The 22,279-nt window shown below is 38.1% G+C and overlaps 1 protein-coding gene across 28 annotated transcripts in view; it reads left to right on the forward strand.

The window, feature by feature from the left end:
* Positions 1-22,279, forward strand: part of CHRM3 (cholinergic receptor muscarinic 3) — a 528,883-nt gene that overhangs the window by 125,829 nt on the left and 380,775 nt on the right. Inside the window, exon 1 of one of the 28 annotated variants that reach the window (XM_017000154.2) lies at positions 1,443-15,167. The exons of the other annotated variants lie outside the window; for them this stretch is intronic. The gene's annotated coding sequence lies outside the window, so the exon portion shown is untranslated. Of the gene's footprint in view, positions 1-1,442; positions 15,168-22,279 lie in introns of those variants that run through there. 28 annotated transcript variants of the gene reach the window in all.

The raw sequence follows: 22,279 nt of genomic DNA on the forward strand, positions 1-22,279 counted from the left end.
GGAAGGTGGCTACAAGTAGGGCCTGTGAAGCAGCCGAGACCTGGGCCTCCAGATCCTTTCTCTGACCCCCATCTCCTTCTCCTTTGATGACTCTACCACTGTTTGCCAAGAACTTCAGTGTTGTTAGGAGCACTTGGAACATTTATTCTTGTTGGAAACTTATAGTCAGTTTGCTTTTTTACTTCATTCCTTCCTTCCTTGTACCCTTTCTTCTTCCTCCCACCCTTCTTTTTCTTCCTCCTCCCTCTCCTGCTTTCTCTCACTCTTTATTTCTTCTTTCTGTTCCTTTACTGTGAACATTCTTTTCCCACTGCTTTGTTTTCTTGAAGGTATAACCCTCTAAGAAAACTAGCTTTATGTAGAGGCTTTAATTCCAAATTCATATTTTGTGTAGTTTTAAGGGTTACCCTCTTTCTTGAAAAAAAAAAACTGTTAGAATCAAGACTGTTGAATGATCAGAGTGGCCGATGGCCCAGGTTATCTGTGGGTTTTGGGCCTGCTTGGTCATAAGCTCTCCCATCATTCTTGGGGCTGGTGGTTTGTCTCCCTTTGTGCTAAAGCAAGCCAGGCATGCATTTGAGAGATATATGTTCTCATGCACTACTCCCTGTTTCCTCAGCATTGATAGATGTTTTATTAAGAGAGATTTTACATCGTGGGTCATATTCTGACAACAAAATTCCAGATTTTGCAAGTCGGTATTGGTATTAGGCCAATACCAACAGATTTTCCAACAATATATATTTTAGATGTTTTTATGGGTAGTGTGAAACATAGTAGAAGACAGCAATAAGGGCACACTATTAAACATTTTCTGTCTTAATCTGATCTTATTTGGGGGGCCTTGATTAAATTAGCATAAATCTGCCTTTTAAAATTTTGTCTTTGTTTTTCAAAATAATATCTTTTGTCAGTGCTTTGAATTTTGGCCATTCTGGTAGGTGTTTATCTCATTGTTGTTTTAACTTGGAATTTCTTAGTGACATATGATGTTTATGTTTACAGGCTTACTTGCCATCTGTGTGTCTTCTTGGTGAGCAATCAGTCAAGGATTTGGCCCATGTTTTAATTGGGTTATTTATTTTCTTATAGTTGAATTTTAAGTGTTATCTGTATATTTTGGATGAATATACCTTTATCCGATACATGTTTTGCAAATATTTTCTCCCAGTCTGTGGCTTGTATTCTCTTTCTCTTGACAATATCTTCAACAAAGCAGAAGCTTTTAATTTTAATGAAGTTCAACTTGTCAATTATTTCTTTTATGGATCACGTCTTTGGTGTTTTATCTAAAAAGCAATTGCCATATCCAAGGTCATCTAGAGTTTCTCCGTTGTTATCTTTTAGGAGTTACATAGTTTTATATTTTATAGTTAGATCTATGATCCATTTTGGATAAAATTTTATAAATGTTTTAAGATCTGTGTCTAGATTTTTTTTTCTTTTTTGCATGTGGATGTCTGGTTGTCCCAGCACCATTTGTTGAAGCGATATCTTTGTTCCATAGTATTGCATTTGTTCCTTTGTCAAAGATCAGTTGCTATACTTAGTTATTCAGTGCTTCTTTTAGGGCTCTTTTTTCTGTTCTTTTGATCAATTTATCTAGTTTTTCACCAACACCGCTCTGTCTTGATTAGAGTAGTTTTACAGTAAGCTTTGAAGTTGGGTAATGCCAGTCCTCCAGGTTTGTTCTTCTTCAACATCCAGTCGGCTATTCTGGGTCTTTTGCCTCTCTGTATAAATTATAGAATCAAGTTTGCCAGTATTATAAAATATCTTGCTGGGATTCTGATTGGCATTGCATTGAATCAATAGACCAAGTTGAGAAGAACTGACATCTTCACAATATTGAGTCTTCCTATCTAGGACCATGGAATGTCTCTCCATTTATAGTTCTTTGATTTCTTTCATTGGAGTTTTGAAGTTACCCTTGTGTAGATCTCGTACATTTTTTTAAGTCTTATTTCTAAGTCTGTCATTTTGTAGAGTGCTAATATAAATGGTATTGTGTTTTAAATTTTAATTTTTCCTTGTTCATTGCTGGTTTATAGGTAAGCAACTGACTTTTATATATTAATCTTATATCCTGAAACCTTGCTAAAATTCCAGAAGTTTTGTGTTGATTCTACTGGATTTTCTACATAGAAAGTCATGCCATCTACACAAAAATTAAGTTTTATTTCTCGCTTATCAATCTGTATGCCTTTTATTTCACTTTTTGTCTACCTGCATTAATGAGGGTTTCCAGTACCATGTTGAAAAAGAGTAGTAGGAGGGTAAATCCTTGTCTTGTTTCTGAACTTAGTGGTGAAGAAATTTGTCATCAAGCTTCTTTTTCAAGTTTACTGGGTTTGTGGAGTTTCCAGGTAGATAATTTAAGTGTGTTTTACATGCCTCCCTTATCTCAGTCCTCTCATTCTGACTCCTGGCTGCCGAACTTGATCTAGGAGAAAACTTGCAGACAAGAGATACTTTATTTGGAATGATACCATGGTAGAAGTAAAATTTTGAAATTTGAAGGACTCTCTCAATGCATCATGTAATCCTCTCTATACCCAAATGTCACTTCCATAAATGAAGATGAAATTAGCCCATTGAATATTTGATAACTCACACATTTTTGTCAGCACATATGTCGTATATTTTTGTAGAAATAACAGAAATATAAGTAGAGTGCTAAATTGTACATCAAAATATTCTGATTTTTTTCTCTCAATATGTTTTCTCACAGATCATATTTTTAATATTTAACATGTGGCCTGTTTGGTTAGTATATATATTTCTCTAGAAATAAACTGAATATTCAAATCTAAAGTTCTTAAAAATGCCTAATAAAATAAAATTTTTGTCTAAAAATGCATGGGGACTGCATGTGGCTTATAAATGTTATATTTACCTTAAAAAAAGCATTACGTAAATTTTAAAAATTATATTAGTCAACCAGAAAATATCTCATATCTGTGTAACCTTAATAAGGCATCTAGGGTAAATTGCAATTGTTCACATGTTTTTTTTGTTTTTTTTTTTTTTAATTCTGGGGTAAGGACACTGTTAGGGGAATATATATTATCTAACCTTAGAGAATTTCACAATATTTATACTTCAAGAAGAGCTGTGTCTGTTGCAAACTAATTTTTCTGCCATAAACAAAGAGGGAATTATTTCTGAGGACTTTAACTTATTTATTTTTCCAAAAGCTTGCCACATGGCTTCAAATGCATTCCACACAAACAATTATTGTGAGAAATGAGAAGTGACAATGCATTTAACTCCTTGCATCCTGTTTTTCAGCAGGCAGAAATTTGCATCTTAAATGAATAAAATGTGATGGAGTATGCCAAACTCTGCCATCATTTGGCCAAAATGATACCAAATGATTGTGATTTATTTACTTCACAATAGATAAAAATAAACTACCCTTAGTTAAAAGTTAGATGCCTAAAATGTACTATATTTTATGTTTATTAAGACAAAAGCTCAGTAAAAAGTCTCTGAACTTCTTAGGAGCATGAGCTATGAAATTAAGACTCTGCTGACTTCTGGCTTCGTTGTTGAATGGGATTGTAGGATATTATACCCCTGGTAATCTATCTTTTACTATCAAGAGCTTAGATAACTAATGACTGCTTTCTCTTTCTCTTTCTCTCTCTCTGTCTCTTTCTCGCTCTCTCTCATCTAGATTGCCAGAAAGCTGAGCTTTTTTTTTGTGCTTACTTGCAACAACCATTTGTAGGCTAGTCCTGCTAGTGTAATTTTTTTTCTTCATTAGCTAAGATTTGAAAGAATTTATAGTATGAACAGAGGGGTACTATTCCCAGGAGGGGAGAACATCGTAAGCAATTATGCAAACACATTAAATAAAGGAAAAGAGCTGTATGTTAAGAAATTTGCAAAGAGTTTCTGAAACCTTGAAAAAATCATTTTAAAGCTCTGACCTTCCGCTTCTCTGTAAAATGGGCATCACGATACTCGCAAAAAGCTGCTATGAGAATTAGAGTAGACAGTGCATGTGAAGGTGTTTAGCACATGAGATAGACTTAGTAAATATTAATGACATTTCATCTGCCTTTGGGTATTTTTTGAGTTCCTATTCACATATCAAATATTTTAATACTCTTATATCAAAGAGTATGGTTAAACCCAGATTGTTTTCTACTAGCTGTATGAGATAGCAGGCGTTCACAGCCTCTTGAAGCTTCAGTTCCTTTACGCTGAAATGAGGAAAAGCAGTGCATGAATCTTGCAGGACTTCTGGGAAGATTAATGCAGGGCCCCCTAACCCTGGGCCACAGATAGGTACTGGTCTGCTATGGCCTATTAGGAACCAGGCCGCACAGCGGGAGGTGAGTGGCAGTCCAGCGAGCGAAACGTCTGTATTTATAGCTGCTCCCTGTTGCTCGCTTTACTGCCTGAGCTCTGCCTCCTGTCAGATCAACGGTGGCATTAGATTCTCATAGAAGCACAAACCCTATTGTGAACTGCACGTGCAAAGGATCTAGGTTGCACACTCCTTATGTGAATCTAATGACTGGTGATCTGTCACTGTCTCTCCCATCACCCTAAGATGTGACAATCTAGTTGCAGGAAAACAGGGTCAGGGCTCCCACTGATTCTACACCATGATGAGTTGTATAATTTTTTCCTTCTATGTTATAATACAATAATAATAGAAATAAAGTACACAATAAATGTAATGTACTTGAATCATCCTGAAACCACCATCCTCCTGCCCGGTCCATAGAAAAATTGTCTTCCATGAAATCGATCCCTGGTGCCCAAAAGTTTGGAGGCCACTGGATTAAAGGAGACAATGTATGTAAATTTTGGCTTATAATAAGTTCTTGGAAAGTGCTAGCTGTGTCTTATCACTGATTATAGTATCCCAATCAAACCTTGACACTTGGGTTAGGATTATTTATTTCCCTCAATTTATAAATGTGAAAGCGGAGGTACAGAGAGGTTAAACAGCTTGCCCAAATTCACACAGCAGATATGTGACAAAGCAAAAGTTCAAGCTGCCCGACTTCTCAAACCTCACTTTCCCATTTATTTTACATCACTTGCCATTCCTATGTTTTTCATTTAGACCATAAACACATTAGCAACATGAATTTATCATCAACGTAATATGGCTAATACAGTTGATCCGGAATTTAGTGAAGCATATATAATACATGAGGTTTTCAATTACCAGTCATTATTGATGGTAGCCAGGTCAAAAGTATCTTTCAGACATTCTAGAAGAGTCATGGAGTTACAAATTTTTAACATCTGAAATCTGAATCCTTTCCCCACACCCAGGCACTACTTTTATCTTTAGAAATGAGCATTTTTTGAAAGACTCATTTTAGGAAGCAAGATTTTGATTGCCTTTGTCTTATATATTCTACTTTAAAATTCAGTATGGTGAACCGGGAATAAATAATCAATGCCTGTGATGAGATAAAGACAGTTTCTTCCCAGCACTTTGAGAGGCTGAGGTGGGCAGATCATGAGGTCAGGAGTTTGAGACCAGCCTGGCAAATATGGTGAAACCCCGTGTCTACTAAAAATACAAAAATTAGCCGGACGTGGTGGCACGTGCCTGTAGTCCCAGCTACTCAGGAGGCTGAGGCAGAAGAATCGTTTGAACCTGGGAGGCGGAGGTTGCAGTGAGCCAAAATCACTCCACTTCACTCCAGCCTGGGCAACAGAGTGAGACTCCATCTGAAAAAACAACGACAACAACAACAACAACCACAAACCATTTCCACACGTTTTAATTTAATTGCTTTTTAAAGAGCACGAGGAAAGACTAAGTTACTCAAATACATTTTGTAGACTATCTGTAAGAAGCAAAAGTAATCAGCTCATTAAATATATGCAGGAGAATAGTAAATGTAATGGAAGCCTTTCACCTCTTCATAAGAGAATCAAATGAATGTGAGTTTGAACTGAAATCCAGCCTTCACTTAACCCCGCTGCCACCTCTCCTCAAATCATTCTCAACTTCACAGTTAAACTGTATGCATATTATAAGTAGGAGGCTCATTTATTGGTTTCAGTGTCTCTCAAACTAAAGTCCAAGGACATATCCCACAAGATGCTCTCAGTGGGGGATGGAGAAAACAAATATGACCAAAGGTAGACAATTTGTCAACCTGGGTTAAGACCCCTTCAATTTTTCTATAGGCTTGAAATTTTTCACACTCCACAGTTTGGGAGAAAAAAGCCAGAAGCTATTGCCAATATCCTGATAGAAATTAACCTAGTACTATAATTAAGACAATTTCAGGTCATGATAGGAAAATCTATACATCAGTATTTATTAAGGGAAAGTTTGTGGGCGGTAGTTGCACGTGAAATCTCCTTGTCTGAAAGACAGAGGCATGGTGGCCAGGCTACCAAGGCATCAGCAGTCTGCCCAATCCCATCCCTTCTCCTCCTGAATTTAGCCCAGTCTATATTTAATACAAAGACTTAGTCCACAGACTAGTGAACTAATGTATTTGCATTGTACAAATTTACCTTCGAAAAGTTTTATACATATATTTTTGTGTAAGTTGGCATTTTTATTTAAATTTTGCAAATCATTTGTTGACAGGATCAAAGGGAAAATAGCATTTCACTTCCTCTTTCCAGACACCTATTTACAAAGTAAAAGTCTCTATTTTTTTCAGCTTTACCTTTCTGACTTTTTGGATTACTGCTATCTAATAATTTATAGTAAAATTGGTGTATTTTTATTCCTCTGTACTCAGGATTAGCTACTGAAATTGACATCTGTTTACATAAATTTAGTTTAAGGGTATAATTTGGAGATAATTTGAATGTAATTCCTTCAATGTAAATAATATAAAAATGTAGCATGTTATGTACAATCTTCTAGATAAATAAAAATTTATACAGATGCTCCTCTAGGAAACTAAACTAAAATTCTAAATTTAAACTAAAATTCTAAGATTACATATTGTAGTTGAAATCAAGCATCCTTTATGAGACGTACCAAATATAGCCTCTTCTGTATGTTTGAAGACATACCAAGATTAACTTGCAAAATTTGTTGTAATTTCTTATTTGATAATAGAAATCTGGTTTTCTATGATTGACACATCAATTGTTAGTGATTCATAAGCTAATCAGTTCTTTAACTGGGTTAAGGCAGGCACAAGTATTCTCTTTTTTATCATCAAAAGAAGATCTATCTTGAAATGAATTGTTAGTAGACATATTTTTAACACAGAGAATATTCAATATTAATCAAATTTATTTTTGACTTCTCAAATATTTTATCCATAAGAGAATTATTCTGTTTCCTTGCCATTACAACTTACCTTGCCATTTTCACGTGGTTAAAAACTAGTTCTTTTTTTTTTTTTTTTTTTTTTTTGAGACAGAGTCTCGCTCAGTCACCCAGGCTAGAGTGCAGTGGCACGATCTTGGCTCACTGCAAGCTCCGCCTCCCGGGTTCACGCCATTCTCCTGCCTCAGCCTCCCTAGTAGCTGGGACCACAGGCACCCGCCACCACACCCCGCTAATTTTTTGTATTTTTAGTAGAGACGGGGTTTCCCCGTGTTAGCCCGGATGGTCTCGATCTCCTGACCTCGTGATCTGCTCGCCTCGGCCTCCCAAAGCGTAAACAACTAGTTCTTACTCTTTCACTTTTCTGTCTCCTAAGGCTCGAAATGTATTGTCTCATATACCAAATACCAAATGTTTAACTCAAAATGTACTCAGTCATTGCTGAGGAAGAATTATTTTGTTTAACCCTCATAATATATTAGTATTCTTATACCCAAGAAATACATACAGACATTTAAGTTGAAATCAGGAGTATGTGGGGATGAGAATGGTTGATGTCATAAGTACTCCAGTATTTAACAGTGATATAGTTTGAATATGTGTCCTCACCTAAATCTCGTGTTGAATTGCAATCCTCAAAGTTGGAGGTGGGGCCTGGTGGGAGATGATCGGATCGTGGGGGCGGATTTCTCATGAATCGTTTGGCACCATCTCCTTGGTGCTGTCCTGGTGATAGTGAGTTCTTATGAGACCTGGCTGTTGAACGGTGTGGCACCCCGCTTGCTCTCTCTTGCTCCCAATCCCTCCATTTGAGACACCTTCTCTCTGGCTTCACCCTCCACCATGACTGAGTGCTTCATGAGGCCTCCCCTGAAGCAGACGTCTGTGTTATGCTTCTTGTACATCCTGCAAAACCATGAGCCAATTAAACCTCTTTTCTTTGTAAATTTCCAGTCTCAGGTAGTTCTTTATTGCAATGCAGGAACAGCCCAATACAAACAGGTATAGCAGGTGTGTCATAATTTAAGTCAAACCAGTGACTAAAATAGCATTCTAACCAGACCCTTCCAGCTCTTACAGCAGTAAGCTCCCTTAGGAAGATTTGATATTGACCCTGTTTTAGGGAAGCTTTGATGTATTTGCTGAGGCATTTGTTGACTTTCAAAAGCAACTTCAATTTAAGGCATTTTGTACATACATAACATACTGTTAGTACAAACTTATGAAGGGTTTCCAATATATCCTGATAAAAATCCTCTCTCTTTGGAGTTACATAATTATAGAGCACAGAAAAAAAAATGGAGTTTGACCCAATATGAACTTGAAGGAATCAGGATTGGCAGTGTGTGTAAAAATAGACATACAAAGGAAATCTTTTAGAATATATTTTATTATTCAGATTTATATTAAAATGAATTAGATTATGGTCCTCCCACATTTCTGTGGCAGCATCCAGAATTCTATTATATTTACTTCCAATTACTGCAGCAAACCTAGACTTCAACTATTAGCCAAAGGCTAAAGATGCTCCTTTGCAGTTGCCAATATATAGACCAGTTTCAGGCTCTCCAGTGGTGGACAGATGGTCATTCCCAGGCTAATATTGCCCTATTTCCATGCAAGAGGAGCTATTTTAGACCTTTAGAGTTATGGTTCCAGTGAAATCAGAGACTTTGGGAAGACAGTGAATCTTTGAGGATACGAGAGGACAATAGACCTTCTTCATTCTCCTGGAAGGCAGCTTCCTTCCAGAATTATTCACTGAAAATCTCTGCTTCACAAATTCTCTGGAATTCTCAAGTGGTGACATGATAATATTGGTTTTCTATCATTACAATGAATATAAATATGCAATTTTTTGTTTTTCACTAAATATTTCAAGTGATTCCTGATGCTGAAATACAATACTACGTGAATTATGCTAAGTTGTCAAAAGACTTCTTGATGCACTGGTTTTATAGACAGGCATGAAATTTCATTGCATAATTGGATGTGGGTTGTGCACATAGGAGAGGGAGGTACAGCCAGCCTTCCATACCCACAGATTAAACCAATCTCAGATTTAGTATACTAAAAAAAACCGCAACAAAATAACGTACAACAATAAATAATAGCACAAATTCAAAAACCAGTGCAGTCTGACAACTATTTAAATGGCCGTTACATTGTACTAGATATTACAAGTAATCTAGAGATGATTTAAGATACATGGGAGAATATGCATAGGGTATATGCAAATTCTATGACATTTCATATAAGGGACATGAGCATCCAAGGATGTTGGCATTCAAGGGGCTCCTGGAACCAATGCCCCAAGGATACTGAGTGATGACTGAATATTGTTTTCTTTTCTTTTCTTTTCTTTTTTGCCATAGTGCTCTTCTTACAGGGTGATGAAGAAACACCCCTATCAAAAGATGGGTGTGTGTTCTCATCTGTTGAATGTAGGCAGACTGTTGTAACTTCCTCATCCCATAAACAGTGGTGTGCAATTTCCAAACCATGTCACAAAAGCCTTTGTGCCATCCTTCTTGCTTTCTTGAATTGCTTGTAATTAGGGAGTTGTAGATACCATGTCATGAGGATCTTGAAGAAACCCTGGAGAGTGAGAGGGTCACATGGAGACAAGTTGTGGCCGTTGGCCACCAGCCGTCACCAACTTGCCAGCCATGTGAGTGAGCCTCTTGGAAGCTGGGGCCAGAGTCCCACCCAATCCCTTAGTAGATCGTCCGGGTCTAGCCAACATGTGACTACAACTGCATGAAAGACCTTAAATGAGACCTACTCAGCCAAACTCTTCCTAAGTCCTGTCCAAACAAAACCATGAAGGATAAGAAATGGTTATTATTATTTTAAGCTACCACCTTTTGGTGTGATTATTATATGCAATAATAGGTAGCAGACACTGGCTTTGGTTGGACATGTATGTTCTCTGCATATTCTGCTTTTGTGCATGTGGAGAAATGGGCTTTCTGGGCTGCTGACAATGAGGAGGTAGAGATGTTGTTCAGGCAGATGCGTTTAGACTTCGAGTCCACTTTCTCCTTCCAAGAACTATGTGGCCTTACAAATGCTGGGGTTGGTTTAAGAAAACAGAACTCTTAATGTTTGTAAACATTCCTGTACGAGAGTTCATCCATCATTTGTGTCTCTCTAGAAAGGTCATACGCAGAAAATGTAGTGGTGTAGCAAAATTTTGAACTTTTCAGAGCTGGCAAAATCCTTTCTTTAGTGTATAGTATTACTACTCATGTCCATTATGAACCATGAGCCCAGGGAGACTCTGCTGAGACAGGCTGCATCTCCTCCAGCCTTATCCTCCTAAGATCAGGCATCCTACCTAAGGGGAGCATAGAATTTAGCCCCTGTTTGTGGGGTGGTGTGGATTCTTCCCACCTGTCTAATCCACCTGAGAAACAGTAGTGAAAAAAAGAAGAAAATGACAAAAATCGAGCTGATTTTTGTATCTACATATGTAGATAATATATGCTATATACACATGCACATAGAATGTATACGTATTATATTTATATATGTATGGTCATTTTTGACCACTCACAATATACAAGACATGATAATTTTCAACGTGTCAAGTTAGAAATTACCATTCTACCTCACTAAATTATCTCAAAAATCTTGATACCTAGTATTTATATATTTTATAAATTAAGTAACCTAAGTCTAAACAAGACGACTGGTTCACAGACCACTATCCTACATGCAAGCTGCAATAGGAAAATAATTTCTCAGCAGTGATTTTTTACAAGTGAAAATAACATTTAAAAATTACAGAAAAGCCGATGAATGGAAATAATCAGTGACAGATGTGGTTTAAGATATAAAAATGAAATCTGAATCCATTGTCCCCAGTGTGTAAAAATGTTTTACGTTGTTTCTTGAAAATTCTCATTGGATGACCCTCTCTTGTTGTCATATTAATTCTGAAATTCTGATTTTAGTCTATTTTCATTTTCACAACAGAACCAGGAACAAAAAGTGTACCCTAGGGGCATCCAATTAACAATAAGCAACTATTGTATGTTTGTTGGAACATACGTGTCAGGAGGGCCGAAAGCATAGCTGACGTGATAAGATATACAAACAAAATTAATGGGATAAAACAGTATGATGGCATCAAGTAAAACGTTTTTGTTTACATTTTTGTGTAGTACAGAGGTTACAATCAGAAAAGGAGTTGTCAGCTCAAGAAATTGAATAAATTAAATAATAAATTAATGAATGGAATATTTCTGTTGGGAAATCACACACAGCACATTAAATGAAGTTCATTAGAAAGTGGGAGCTACAGGATGAAACTGACAGGCAAGGGATGCTGAATTATGGTCGTCTTGTAAAATTTAATACCACATTTCTCAGCTTTAAAGTATTAAACCTACCAAAAACACTAAACCTGCATCCCACCTTTGTAACACTTTTGAAAACCCCATAACCTCACCTGCTGTTAATTCTAGATCTTTACAGATTCAAAGAATATATATATATATATGCACACATATGAGTTTCTCATGTTATTTGCCTTTTTAGTTTTTTGAGAAATAGGCCTTGTGTGGTTTTCCAAATAAGTACAAATTGTACTGACAGCATATATTTTTATCTCCTCAAGAAGACAGTTCCTTGTCATTGTTCTTTCCAGCAACTTGACATTTTATTTAGGTAACCTGTTCTCCACTTTGTAATATGTTAGCTATCATCCCAGCAAAATTGTTCTATATTCTACAGAGTGGTAGTTTATTTTTTTTTTGGAAATACGGACAAAGCATTCAATTATTTGTCGCCATGACCGCTCTCGGGGTTAGTTAACTACATATGCAACTAAAATTGGATAAATGTAATTAAGAAAATTGGTATTGTAGAGGTTTCATTGTTCTATAGAATTAGAGAATTCTACCAACTGAATTTATAACCTGAGCATGAAAACCAGATCCTTTTTCATATTTAAATATTAACCAGAGTAAGCCATGTACTACCTTAACAATAAAAATAAAATTAAACAAACTCAAAAAGTTTGAAGAAATAAAATGATAAAAGCTAAGTGAATTCTTTGAGCTGCAGCTTTTTTACCGTGCTGCACAGTTGCCTGGCTTAGGTCAGAACCTTTTCAAGAAAGGTTCCATCCTGCCACGGCTCTTTGAATTTTTCTTAAATCTTTTATGTTTAAAGATATCTAATTATATTCTATTTTAATACTTGGATAAATTAAGAATTTTTAAAAATTCTTCATTTTTGTAAAGTATTAATAAAGTAATTTTTTAAAAGTAAAAGAATAAATTCAAGCATTCCAATCTGTTAAAATATCCTTTACAATGTACTAACCGGATTATATTATCGTGTGTTTCGCCTCATTTTTGTTATACAAATTTTCATGTATTAAGATGATCCATGGCAGGGCACAGTGGTTCACACCTGTAATCTCAGCTCTTTGAGAGGCCAAGGAGGGAGGATTGCTTGAGCCCAGGAGTTGGAGACCAGCCTGGGCAACATAGGGAAAACCTGTCTCTACAAATATTTGTAAAATTTGCTCTCAGATACTCAAAAGGCTGAGGTGGGTGAACTGCTGGAGTCTAGGAGGCTGAGGCCACAGTGGGCCAGTGATCCCACCACTGCTCTCCAGCCCTGGTGACAGAGAGAGATGCTGTCCCCAAAAAAGAAAAAATCCACGTGATATTTACTTCCCTAGCACATGACATCATGTTGCTGTATCCTGATTTGACTATCAGTTATTGTATTTTTAAATATTTTGGTTTTCTTTTTGTTTCTTTTTTTTAAAATTATTTTAACTGTAAATCATACATAGTATGAACCCCTATATACAGATTAGGCTATTTACTTAGGATCTGATCCCAAAGTTCAGCAGAAGTTGAACAATACAAATTATAACATATTCCCAGATTGTTCTTTAGAGAAAATAAATGAATGAACTGACAATATATGCATACATGTTACATTCTCCCACCCACTCACCATTTTATATAACAGCTTAATTTTTTTATTTTAATGCTTAAAAATAGATTTAATTTGCAACTCTCCAACTGCTTTTGCAGTGATGCATTTTTTCCACAGGACAGTTTTCTTTTTTATTGTTATTTGGAACAAGGGCATGTAGGCAAAAGATGTAAATGCTTTCCACAGCCTGTTGCTTCCCCAGTGGTTCTCCACCTCACCTGCATGTTGCTGTCAATTCAAGAACTTTAAGAAACCCTGATGCCCAGGACACCCCAATTCCAGTTAAATCAGAGTCCTGGGAGTGGAACTCAGGCATCAGTACATTTTAAAGCTTCTCAAATGCTTCTATCAGCCATCCAGGTTTGGGAATGACTCATCTCAATTGATCATGGAGTCTCAGCTGGGTGTGATGGGAGATTGGAAGGAAAACAGTAGGCTTAACTTTATTATATGGGGCAATCGGAATTAAGCTGTGTTGTCAGCCTTCCTCCCATCTAGTGCCCTCAAACAAACCCTTCCCTGGCCCTGAATCTTCTCTCATTGCCTATGTCCTTGCCTGTCACAGTCTTTCTGCATTGAAACAGTCCATGAAAAAGGTCTCCTGATCTAAACTACCCTGTAATTAGCCTGATAAGTACCTCATCTCCTACTTGTATGCTTTTTCTGATCTGTTTCCCTGTAGAGTGAAATCTTACTTTCTGAACATCCAAATCCTGATGAGGTTTTACTGTCAATGAACAACTGATATTTTTACGTGAATTAAGAGACACAGCAATTCCACTTCATCCCAGTGTTTTTACCAGCTACTTGGACACACTCGCCTACTGGATTTGACCTCTGTGAATACCAATGCTGGCCTGGGTGTCAGTATTTGCTAGAAGCCCCTGTGTGGGTTTGTCTTCCCTTAGCTTTAGCCAGGAAGACATCTGGCCTCAGCAAGCACACTGCTGCTGTGATTCTTTTGCTTCTATTAAGTGCAAATGAATGCACTTTATGTTGATGGTGTATTGCATAAGACTAATTTCTGGATTAGCGAAAAAGAGCTCTTTTTCATTTATCAGACATTTTCTTTCTTACATCTTATTTTCCTTCAGCTTCAAACCATGTCTGCCTCACCCATATCAGTAACCACATTAATAATGACGAGAATAATTAACTTTCATTGCAACCTTTTTCCATCCTTATAACATAAGTCATGGCTGGGTGCAGTGGCTCACCCCTGTAATCTGAACATTTGGGACTACTAGGTAGGAGGATCTCTTGAGCCCAGAAGTTTAAGGCCAGTCTGAGCAATATAGGGAGACCCTGTCTCTATAAAGATATTTAAAAAATTAGCCAGGCATAGTGGTGCATGCCTGTGGTCCCAGCTATACAGGAGGCTGAGGTGGGAGGATTGCTTGAGCTGGGAGGAGGTCAGAGCTATAGTGAGCCATGATCACGCCACTGGATTCCAGCCTGTGCGACAGCCCTGTCTCAAAAAACAAAACAAAAACAACAAAAACAAGAAAGCCATAAGTCTTTTACAAATGCTGTCTCCTTTAATTTTAACAACCTACAAAACAGTTACTGTATTTATCCCCAGTTTTTCAGATGAAGAAACAGTAGATTGAATAATGTTTATTGGCCAAGGTTCAAGAAATGACAGAGCTGGAGGATTTAAACCTAGCATTGCTTAATTCCCAGAGCCTGAGCTGTTGACCATGTTTTATGAAAACTAGATTTCTTAAAAAAAAAATAATTGAGGCCCTTACAAAGTCTATTCCTGACCTCCATTTATATCCCCTTTGTTCCCACTCACTGCCATTTTTACCTACCTTTCCTCAAGCACTGCTGACCAACTGATTGTTCCTGGATCTGTGACAACTGCATGACTTGCCATGTGCTGTTTCTCAGGTCTGAGATTTTTGCTCTCTCCTTCAAGGTGAGCTCCCACTCATAATTTTCAATTTAGTTCAAATGTCAAACAGTTCTATGTGAAGCTCTGAGCCCCCACATCAGTCAATTGTGCTTTTCTCTGTGTTCTTACGGTGCTTGGTAAATACCTTGATCACAGTGTTCATCACTTACCAGCTAATAACTTTCAACGGTTTAAGCTCTGTAAGCCTCAGTTTCCTCATCTACAAAAATAAAGATAATCAAAGAACTTATCTCAGAGGCTTATGAGAATTAGAGATAATGAATGTAAGATATTTAAATCTATGTTATATAATAAGCATTTTAAAAGCTATTAACTGTATTTCATTACCATCCCCTTGTACTACAACTTTTGATTTTTTTTTTCTTTTCACAACTGCTTTCTATGAAAGTGGACATGATGACATGCATTTTATTTTTCCATGTTTTGCAAAGTTCTCAGCACAGAATGGAAACGTGTGGGCTTACTTAACAACTCCATCTCTAAAATGAGGACCCTCAAAGGGCATTAGTGTCAGCAACTATCATTATTTAGTAAGTTTTAGTAAACGAAAGGTTGCATTTAAAGGGAGTAAAACACTTGCATATCAGTAGTTTCTTATGCAGAGATGATGGCAAGTCACAGTAGTCCATGTCTGCGAGCTCATAGACAGACCTCTTTGTGTGATGAGATATGACAAGTCTTTAGATTTTTTCCTATTAGTACCCTGCAGCACCAATTCCTGCTGTTGTGCAAGGAGTACCTGAAGTGTTGATCAGCAAGAGACTTGGCAAATCTTGCTGACATGTCTCTTCTGACAAGAGGATAAATGCTTTCCATGGATCCTTTCTGTCCTGCACTGGCCCCTTGGCTGACCATCTGTTTGAAAGTGCAGGGCATGATGGTGACAATAAATAAGGTGCTCTTCTGTAAATTTCAGTAATCCAACTACAGTACATTCCAAAGCATGACTGAACAGCGTACCTGGTAATCTTTGTTACAAATAGAACCTGCAGATCCTGGAGCAGCAGAGGTTAGAGATGGAAATAAAAGGGCATTAATTTAATTTGGGCAGGCTGGGCTCAGTGGTTCATGCCTGTAATCCCAGCACTTTGGGAGGCCAAGGCAGGTGGATCACCTGAGTTTAGGAGTTTGATACCAGCCCTGCCAACATGGTGAAACCCCGTCTCTACTAAAAATACATAAGTTAGCTGGGCATGGTGGCACATGCCTGTAGTCCCAGCTACTCGGTAGGCTGAGGCATGAGAATCGCTTGAACCTGGGAGGCGGAAGTTGCAGTGAGCCGAGATCACACCACTGTACTCCAGCCTGGGCAACAGAGTGAGAGTTGGTCTAAAAACAGCAACAACAACAAAAAAGAATTTAGGATAGAGACAGTCTAAATAAAATATTTTTTTCCAGAATAACCCCCGAAAACAATGTGGATATTCTTCTCATTCAGGCTTAAAGGAGCCATCTATACCTGTTAGATCCTCTGTTTCCTCCCATTTCCTTCATAATCCACAGATGTTTTTATTTAGTACTTAATGGAGTGGTTCTGAAATGGTTGCCTTTCAAGAAAAAAAATTAGATTTAAAAAATCTTTACCAAAGAAATGCATGTGAGTCTTGTTTTGTTTTTGGAGGTGATACATCACACCATAGCACGTCTTAAGTTTATGGAGTACCAGATGCTTTGAAGTGATCATCTGAAAGGGAATATATGAAGTTCCAATTTCAAATTAATTTCATTTTGAAAGCTAAATAACTGATACATTATAAGATGCCTTTTTGGCCGGGCATGGTGGCTCACGCCTGTAATCCCAGCACTTTGGGAGGCTGAGGCAAGGCAGACCACTTGAGGTCAGGAGTTTGAGACCAGCCTGACCAACATGGTGAATGCCTGTCTCTACCAAAAATACAAAAATTAGCTGGACATGGTGGCATGTGCCTGTAATCCCAGCCACTCGGGAGGCTGAGGCAAGAGAATCACTTGAACCCAGGAGGCGGAGGTTGCAGTGAGCCAAGATCGTGTTGCTGCACTCTAGCCTGGGTGACAGAGAGACTCCGTCTCAAAAAAAAAAAAAAAAAAAAAACAAACAAACAACAACAATAACAACAACAAAAGCCTTGTTAATTATCTGTTATTATTACTTTACTTGGCTAATTGTATATTTTTCTGTCTCTGTCCATTCGTCATTAATCTTTGCATTAACCTAATAGCCATTATCTTCAGACGTTACTCTATGCAGGTTCAGTGCCTGCTTGAGGTGCTATTCTCAACCCTTTTCATCTATTAAAAACAAGTTTACTAGACAAACTTTATTTGACGAGAACTCTTCAACTCCACAATTTATTATTATTATTATTATTTTTTTTTGAGACAGAGTCTCGCTCTGTCGCCCAGGCTGGAGTGCAGTGGCGCGATCTCGGCTCACTGCAAGCTCCGCCTCCCAGGTTCACGCCATTATCCTGCCTCAGCCTCCCGAGTAGCTGGGACTGCAGGTGCCCGCCACCATGCCCAGCTAATTTTTTCTTTTTGTATTTTTAGTAGAGATGGGGTTTCACCGTGTTAGCCAGGATGGTCTTGATCTCCTGACCTTGTGATCTGCCCGCCTCGGCCTCCCAAAGTGCTGGGATTACAGGCGTGAGCCACCGTGCCCGGCCCAAATTATTTTTTTTGTTACTTTTGTTAGTACTTTTCTTCAAATATAGATCAAATTAATTAATTGCACCATTGAGTCAGCTACATATTTCTCAGCTCCTCAAATTCAGCTTTCTATCCCAACAAACGAACTGAAACTAATATGATATATTTTTAACTATATTGCTCGATCCATTAAAATTTATGTTGACATTTAAAAGACAAGCTGCTCCAAGCAGTGTGTCTGTAAAAATTGAATTAATAATGAAAAATACTAAGAAAATGGAGACTTCCAGAGTGTGACTCATACTAATGAAAAAGAAGCATTCAATAGAAACTGTCAGTGCAGGGTTCCAGGTATGAAACTAGGTATACAAACGTCAGTGGATTTCAGTGGAGCTATAGTAAGTATGGCCTAAGAACTAAAGGATACTATGATTGAAGAATAAAGTATGTGCGTGATCCTTCACCAAATGGAGAATATCCGTAAAGAGGCAGAAATTATGTAAAATAACAAAATGAAAACTTAGAGAGGAGCACAAAAGCAGTCTTGAGATGGCAGAAGAAAGACCCAGTGACCTTGAAGATTGATGAATAGCAATTATCCGTGAAAAACAACAAAAAAAAAGAAAAATTAATAGACCCTCAGGGACTGTGGTCTAAACAACATCAAGCATATCAATGTATGAGAGTTCCAAAAGAAAAAGGCAGAAAAGGCAGAAAACAAATATTTGCAGAAATAATGGCCAAAACATCCCAATTTTTGTGAAACATATCAATCTACATATTCAAGAAGCTCAACGAACTGCAAGTCAGAGAAACATAAAGAGATCCATGTCCAAACACATCATGATCAAACTGCTGAAAGATAAAAGACAGAGAAAACAAGATAGAAAAATTAAAATGTTTATTAGAGATTGTTATTAGGATTTTTTTGCAGAAATTGACAAGCTGACCCAAAAATTTATATGGGAATTCATATGACCCATAATAATAATAATAACAATAATGATAATAAAAACTTTGAAAAAGAAGAACCAAGTTAGAGGACATGCACTTCCTGATTTTAGAAATTAATATAAAGCTACAGTAATCAAGGCAGTGTGATATTAGCATAAAGATGGATACATAGATCAATAGAACATAATTGAGAGTCTAAAGATAAACTCTTAAAATATGGCCAGGAATTTTACTTAGCATATGCAAGACCCTGAGAATATCAGAATTAGAAACTTTTAAAAATAGTTTTATGAGCACCAATGATTGTATTTCGGCATTAAGCATAAATTTTATAGTTTGATCACGTCAATACACATAAAATGTTGGAAAGTAACGTTTTCTGGTACATTTACTTAAAAAGGAGTTATGAATTAAGTGTTTCAAGATATCATAAACTAGGTAAACAAAAATCATGTATGCTATGTGCTTTGTCGTATAAAAACTAATCTCTCTAGAATGGATTTTTTTTTTTTTTTTTTTTTTTTTTTTTTTTTTTTTGGAGGCAGAGTCTCGCTCTGTCGCCCAGGCTGGAGTGCAGTGGCTTGATCTTGGCTCACTGTAACCTCCACCTGCTGGGTTCATGCAATTCTCCTGTCTCAGCCTCCCGAGTAGCTGGGACCACAGGCACCCGCCACCACACCCGGCTAATTTTTTGTATTTTTAATAGAGACGGGGTTTCACTGTGTTAGCCAGGTTGGTCTCAATCTCCTGACCTCGTGATCTCCGCGCTTGGGCCTCCCAATGTGCTGGGATTACAGGCTCGAGCCGCCGTGCCTGGCCTAGAATGGATATTTAAGGTGGAGTATATTTCTTTTTTCTTTTCCTTCTTTCTTTTTTTTTTTTTTTTTTTTTGAGACGGAGTCTTGCCCTGTCTCCCAGGCTGGAGTGCAGTAGCGCGATCTCGGCTCACTGCAAGCTCCGCCTCCCGGGTTCACACCATTCTCCTGCCTCAGCCTCCCGAGTAGCTGGGACTACAGGCGCTGCCACCACGCCCGGCTAATTATTTGTATTTGTAGTAGAGACAGGGTTTCACCATGTTAGCCAGGGTGGTCTCAATCTCCTGACCTCATGATCCGCCCACCTCGGCCTCCCAAAGTGCTGGGATTACAGGCGTGAGCCACCGCGCCCGGCTGGTGGAGTATATTTCTTATAAAATATGTAGGAGTTGGCCAGGCGCAGTGGCTCACGCCTGTAATCCCAGCACTTCAGGAGGCCGAGGTGGGTGGATCACGAGGTCAACAGATCGAGACCATCCTGGCCAACGTGGTGAAACCCCCTCTCTACTAAAGTACAAAAATTAGCCGGACATGGTGGTGTGTGCCTGTAGTCCCAGCTACTCCGGAGGCTGAGGCAGGAGAATGGCGTGAACCCGGGAGGCAGAGGTTGCAGTGAGTCGAGGTCACGCCACTGCACTCTGCCTGGTGACAGAGCAAGACTGCCTCTCAAAAAAAAAAAAAAAAGATATGTAGGAGTTCCACTCTACTTGATAAAGTTTAACATTAAGATCCTGAAAAATAGAAAAATGTAATGAAAACTAGATTAAGTATGATAGTAATTAAGAATATTGAAAAAAGATGATTAAGAAGAATACCCTCTGGTGAAGTTTAATATAATCTCTCCTATAAATCTATGCATAATCACCTCTAAGGAAATGAGAACACAAAAGATTAAAGCAGATTCAGCTAAAATATTATCTATGTCTTTAAGTGCTTTTCACTAATTCATTAGTTGCAATAAAAAGTTTTTTTTCTATTTTTTGCAAAATGATCCCATAATGAAAACCTTCAATTAAATAATTTTAAAGCATCCTTTAATTCTCTATAGCGCTCTTCTGGAAATAATATATTATGAAGCACTTTCATTTCCCTTTCGATGAGAAAAGGTCAAATAACCTCAAGTTTTTGTCTTTTTTTTTAGAACAGAAAAACATTCTGTCCCTTCTTTTCATAAATTTGTATGTGAATACGATTTTTTAAAAATACAGAACAGGACCCCCATTACTAAGCTAAACTTCCCATGATTGTAAAACACTATGCCAGCAATGAAGCTAATCTGGCTGCCAGCTTGTGTCAGTCCGTCCTTACACTGCTATGAAGAAATACCCGAGAGTGGGTAATTTATAAAGAAAAGAGGTTTAATTGACTCACAGTTCCACATGGCTGGGGAGGCCTCAGGAAACTTACAATCATGGCAGAAGGTGAAGGAGAAGAAAGGCACCTTCTTCACAGGGCGGCAGGAAGGAGAAGTGTGGAACAAAGTGGGAAAAGCCCCTTATAGGCTGGGTGCAGTGGCTCAGCCTATTATCCCAGCGCTTTGGGAGGCCGAGATGGGTGGATCATCTAAGGTCAGGAGTTTGAGACCAGCTTGGAGAGTGAAACCCCGTCTCTACTAAAAAAAAAAAAATTACCTGTGCATGGTGGCAGGTGTCTGTAATCCCACCTACTCAGGAGGCTGAGGCAGGAGAATTGCTGGAACCCAGGAGGCAGAGGCTTCAGTGAGCCGAGATTGGACCATTGCACTCCAGCCTGGGCAACAAGAGCCAAACTCTGTCTCAAAAAAAAAAAAAAAAAAACAAAAAAACCCTTAAAAACCATCAGATCTTGTAAGAACTCACTCACCATCACGAGAACAGCAGGAGAGTAATCAGCCCCATGATTCATTACCTCCCACTGGGTCCTTCCCATGACATGTGGGGATTATGAGAGCTACAATTCAAGATGAGATTTGGGTGAGGACACAGCCAAACCCTACCACACCTCTCCTGCCCTGTTGATTCTGAGGCTGGCTTAGCAGCTCTTGCTAGTTATGGGGAGGCTCTCTGCTTCTTTTCTTCACCATGAGTGTTGAAATGAAAATGCTCGTTTTAGGGCTGGGTGCAGTGGCTTATGCCTATAATCCCAGCACTTTGGGAGGCCAAGGCAGGCAGATCGCTTGAGGTCAGGAGTTCGAGACCAGCCTGGCCAACATGTCCAAATGCCATCTCTACTAAAAATACAAAAATTAGCCAGGCCTGGTGGCAGATGCCTGTAATGCCAGTTACTTGGGAAACAGGCACAAGAATTGCTTGAACCCGGGAGGCAGAAGTTGCAGTGAGCTGAGATCATGCCACTGCACTTCAGCCTGGGTGACAAAGCGAGACTCTGTCTCAAAAAAGAAAATTTTAGGAGAACGTGCATACTGATTTGCACATATACATATTTAATTTTCAAAGCGTATTCACAGAATATTACCTGTATTTAATTTGCTGAGCTGGTGGTACTAATTCCATTTGATGAACTGGGATATGGATCGCTGGCTAAGTTAATGTCATGTAACTCTGTACTGATGCCAAAGTTAGCCACATCTTACTTCCAGACATTTACCTTATTTCTGTTTTCAAAAATTATTAAATCTAAAAATTACTTCTGATTTTAAAAGGATTCTCTGAAACAGAAAACAAAGACAAGTTGTTGCATGGTGCAAAGTGATGGAAATTTGGCCAAATCCAACCTAAGTTT

The sequence above is a fragment of the Homo sapiens genome, chromosome 1 (assembly GCF_000001405.40).
Source record: "Homo sapiens chromosome 1, GRCh38.p14 Primary Assembly".
NCBI lineage: Eukaryota > Metazoa > Chordata > Mammalia > Primates > Hominidae > Homo > Homo sapiens.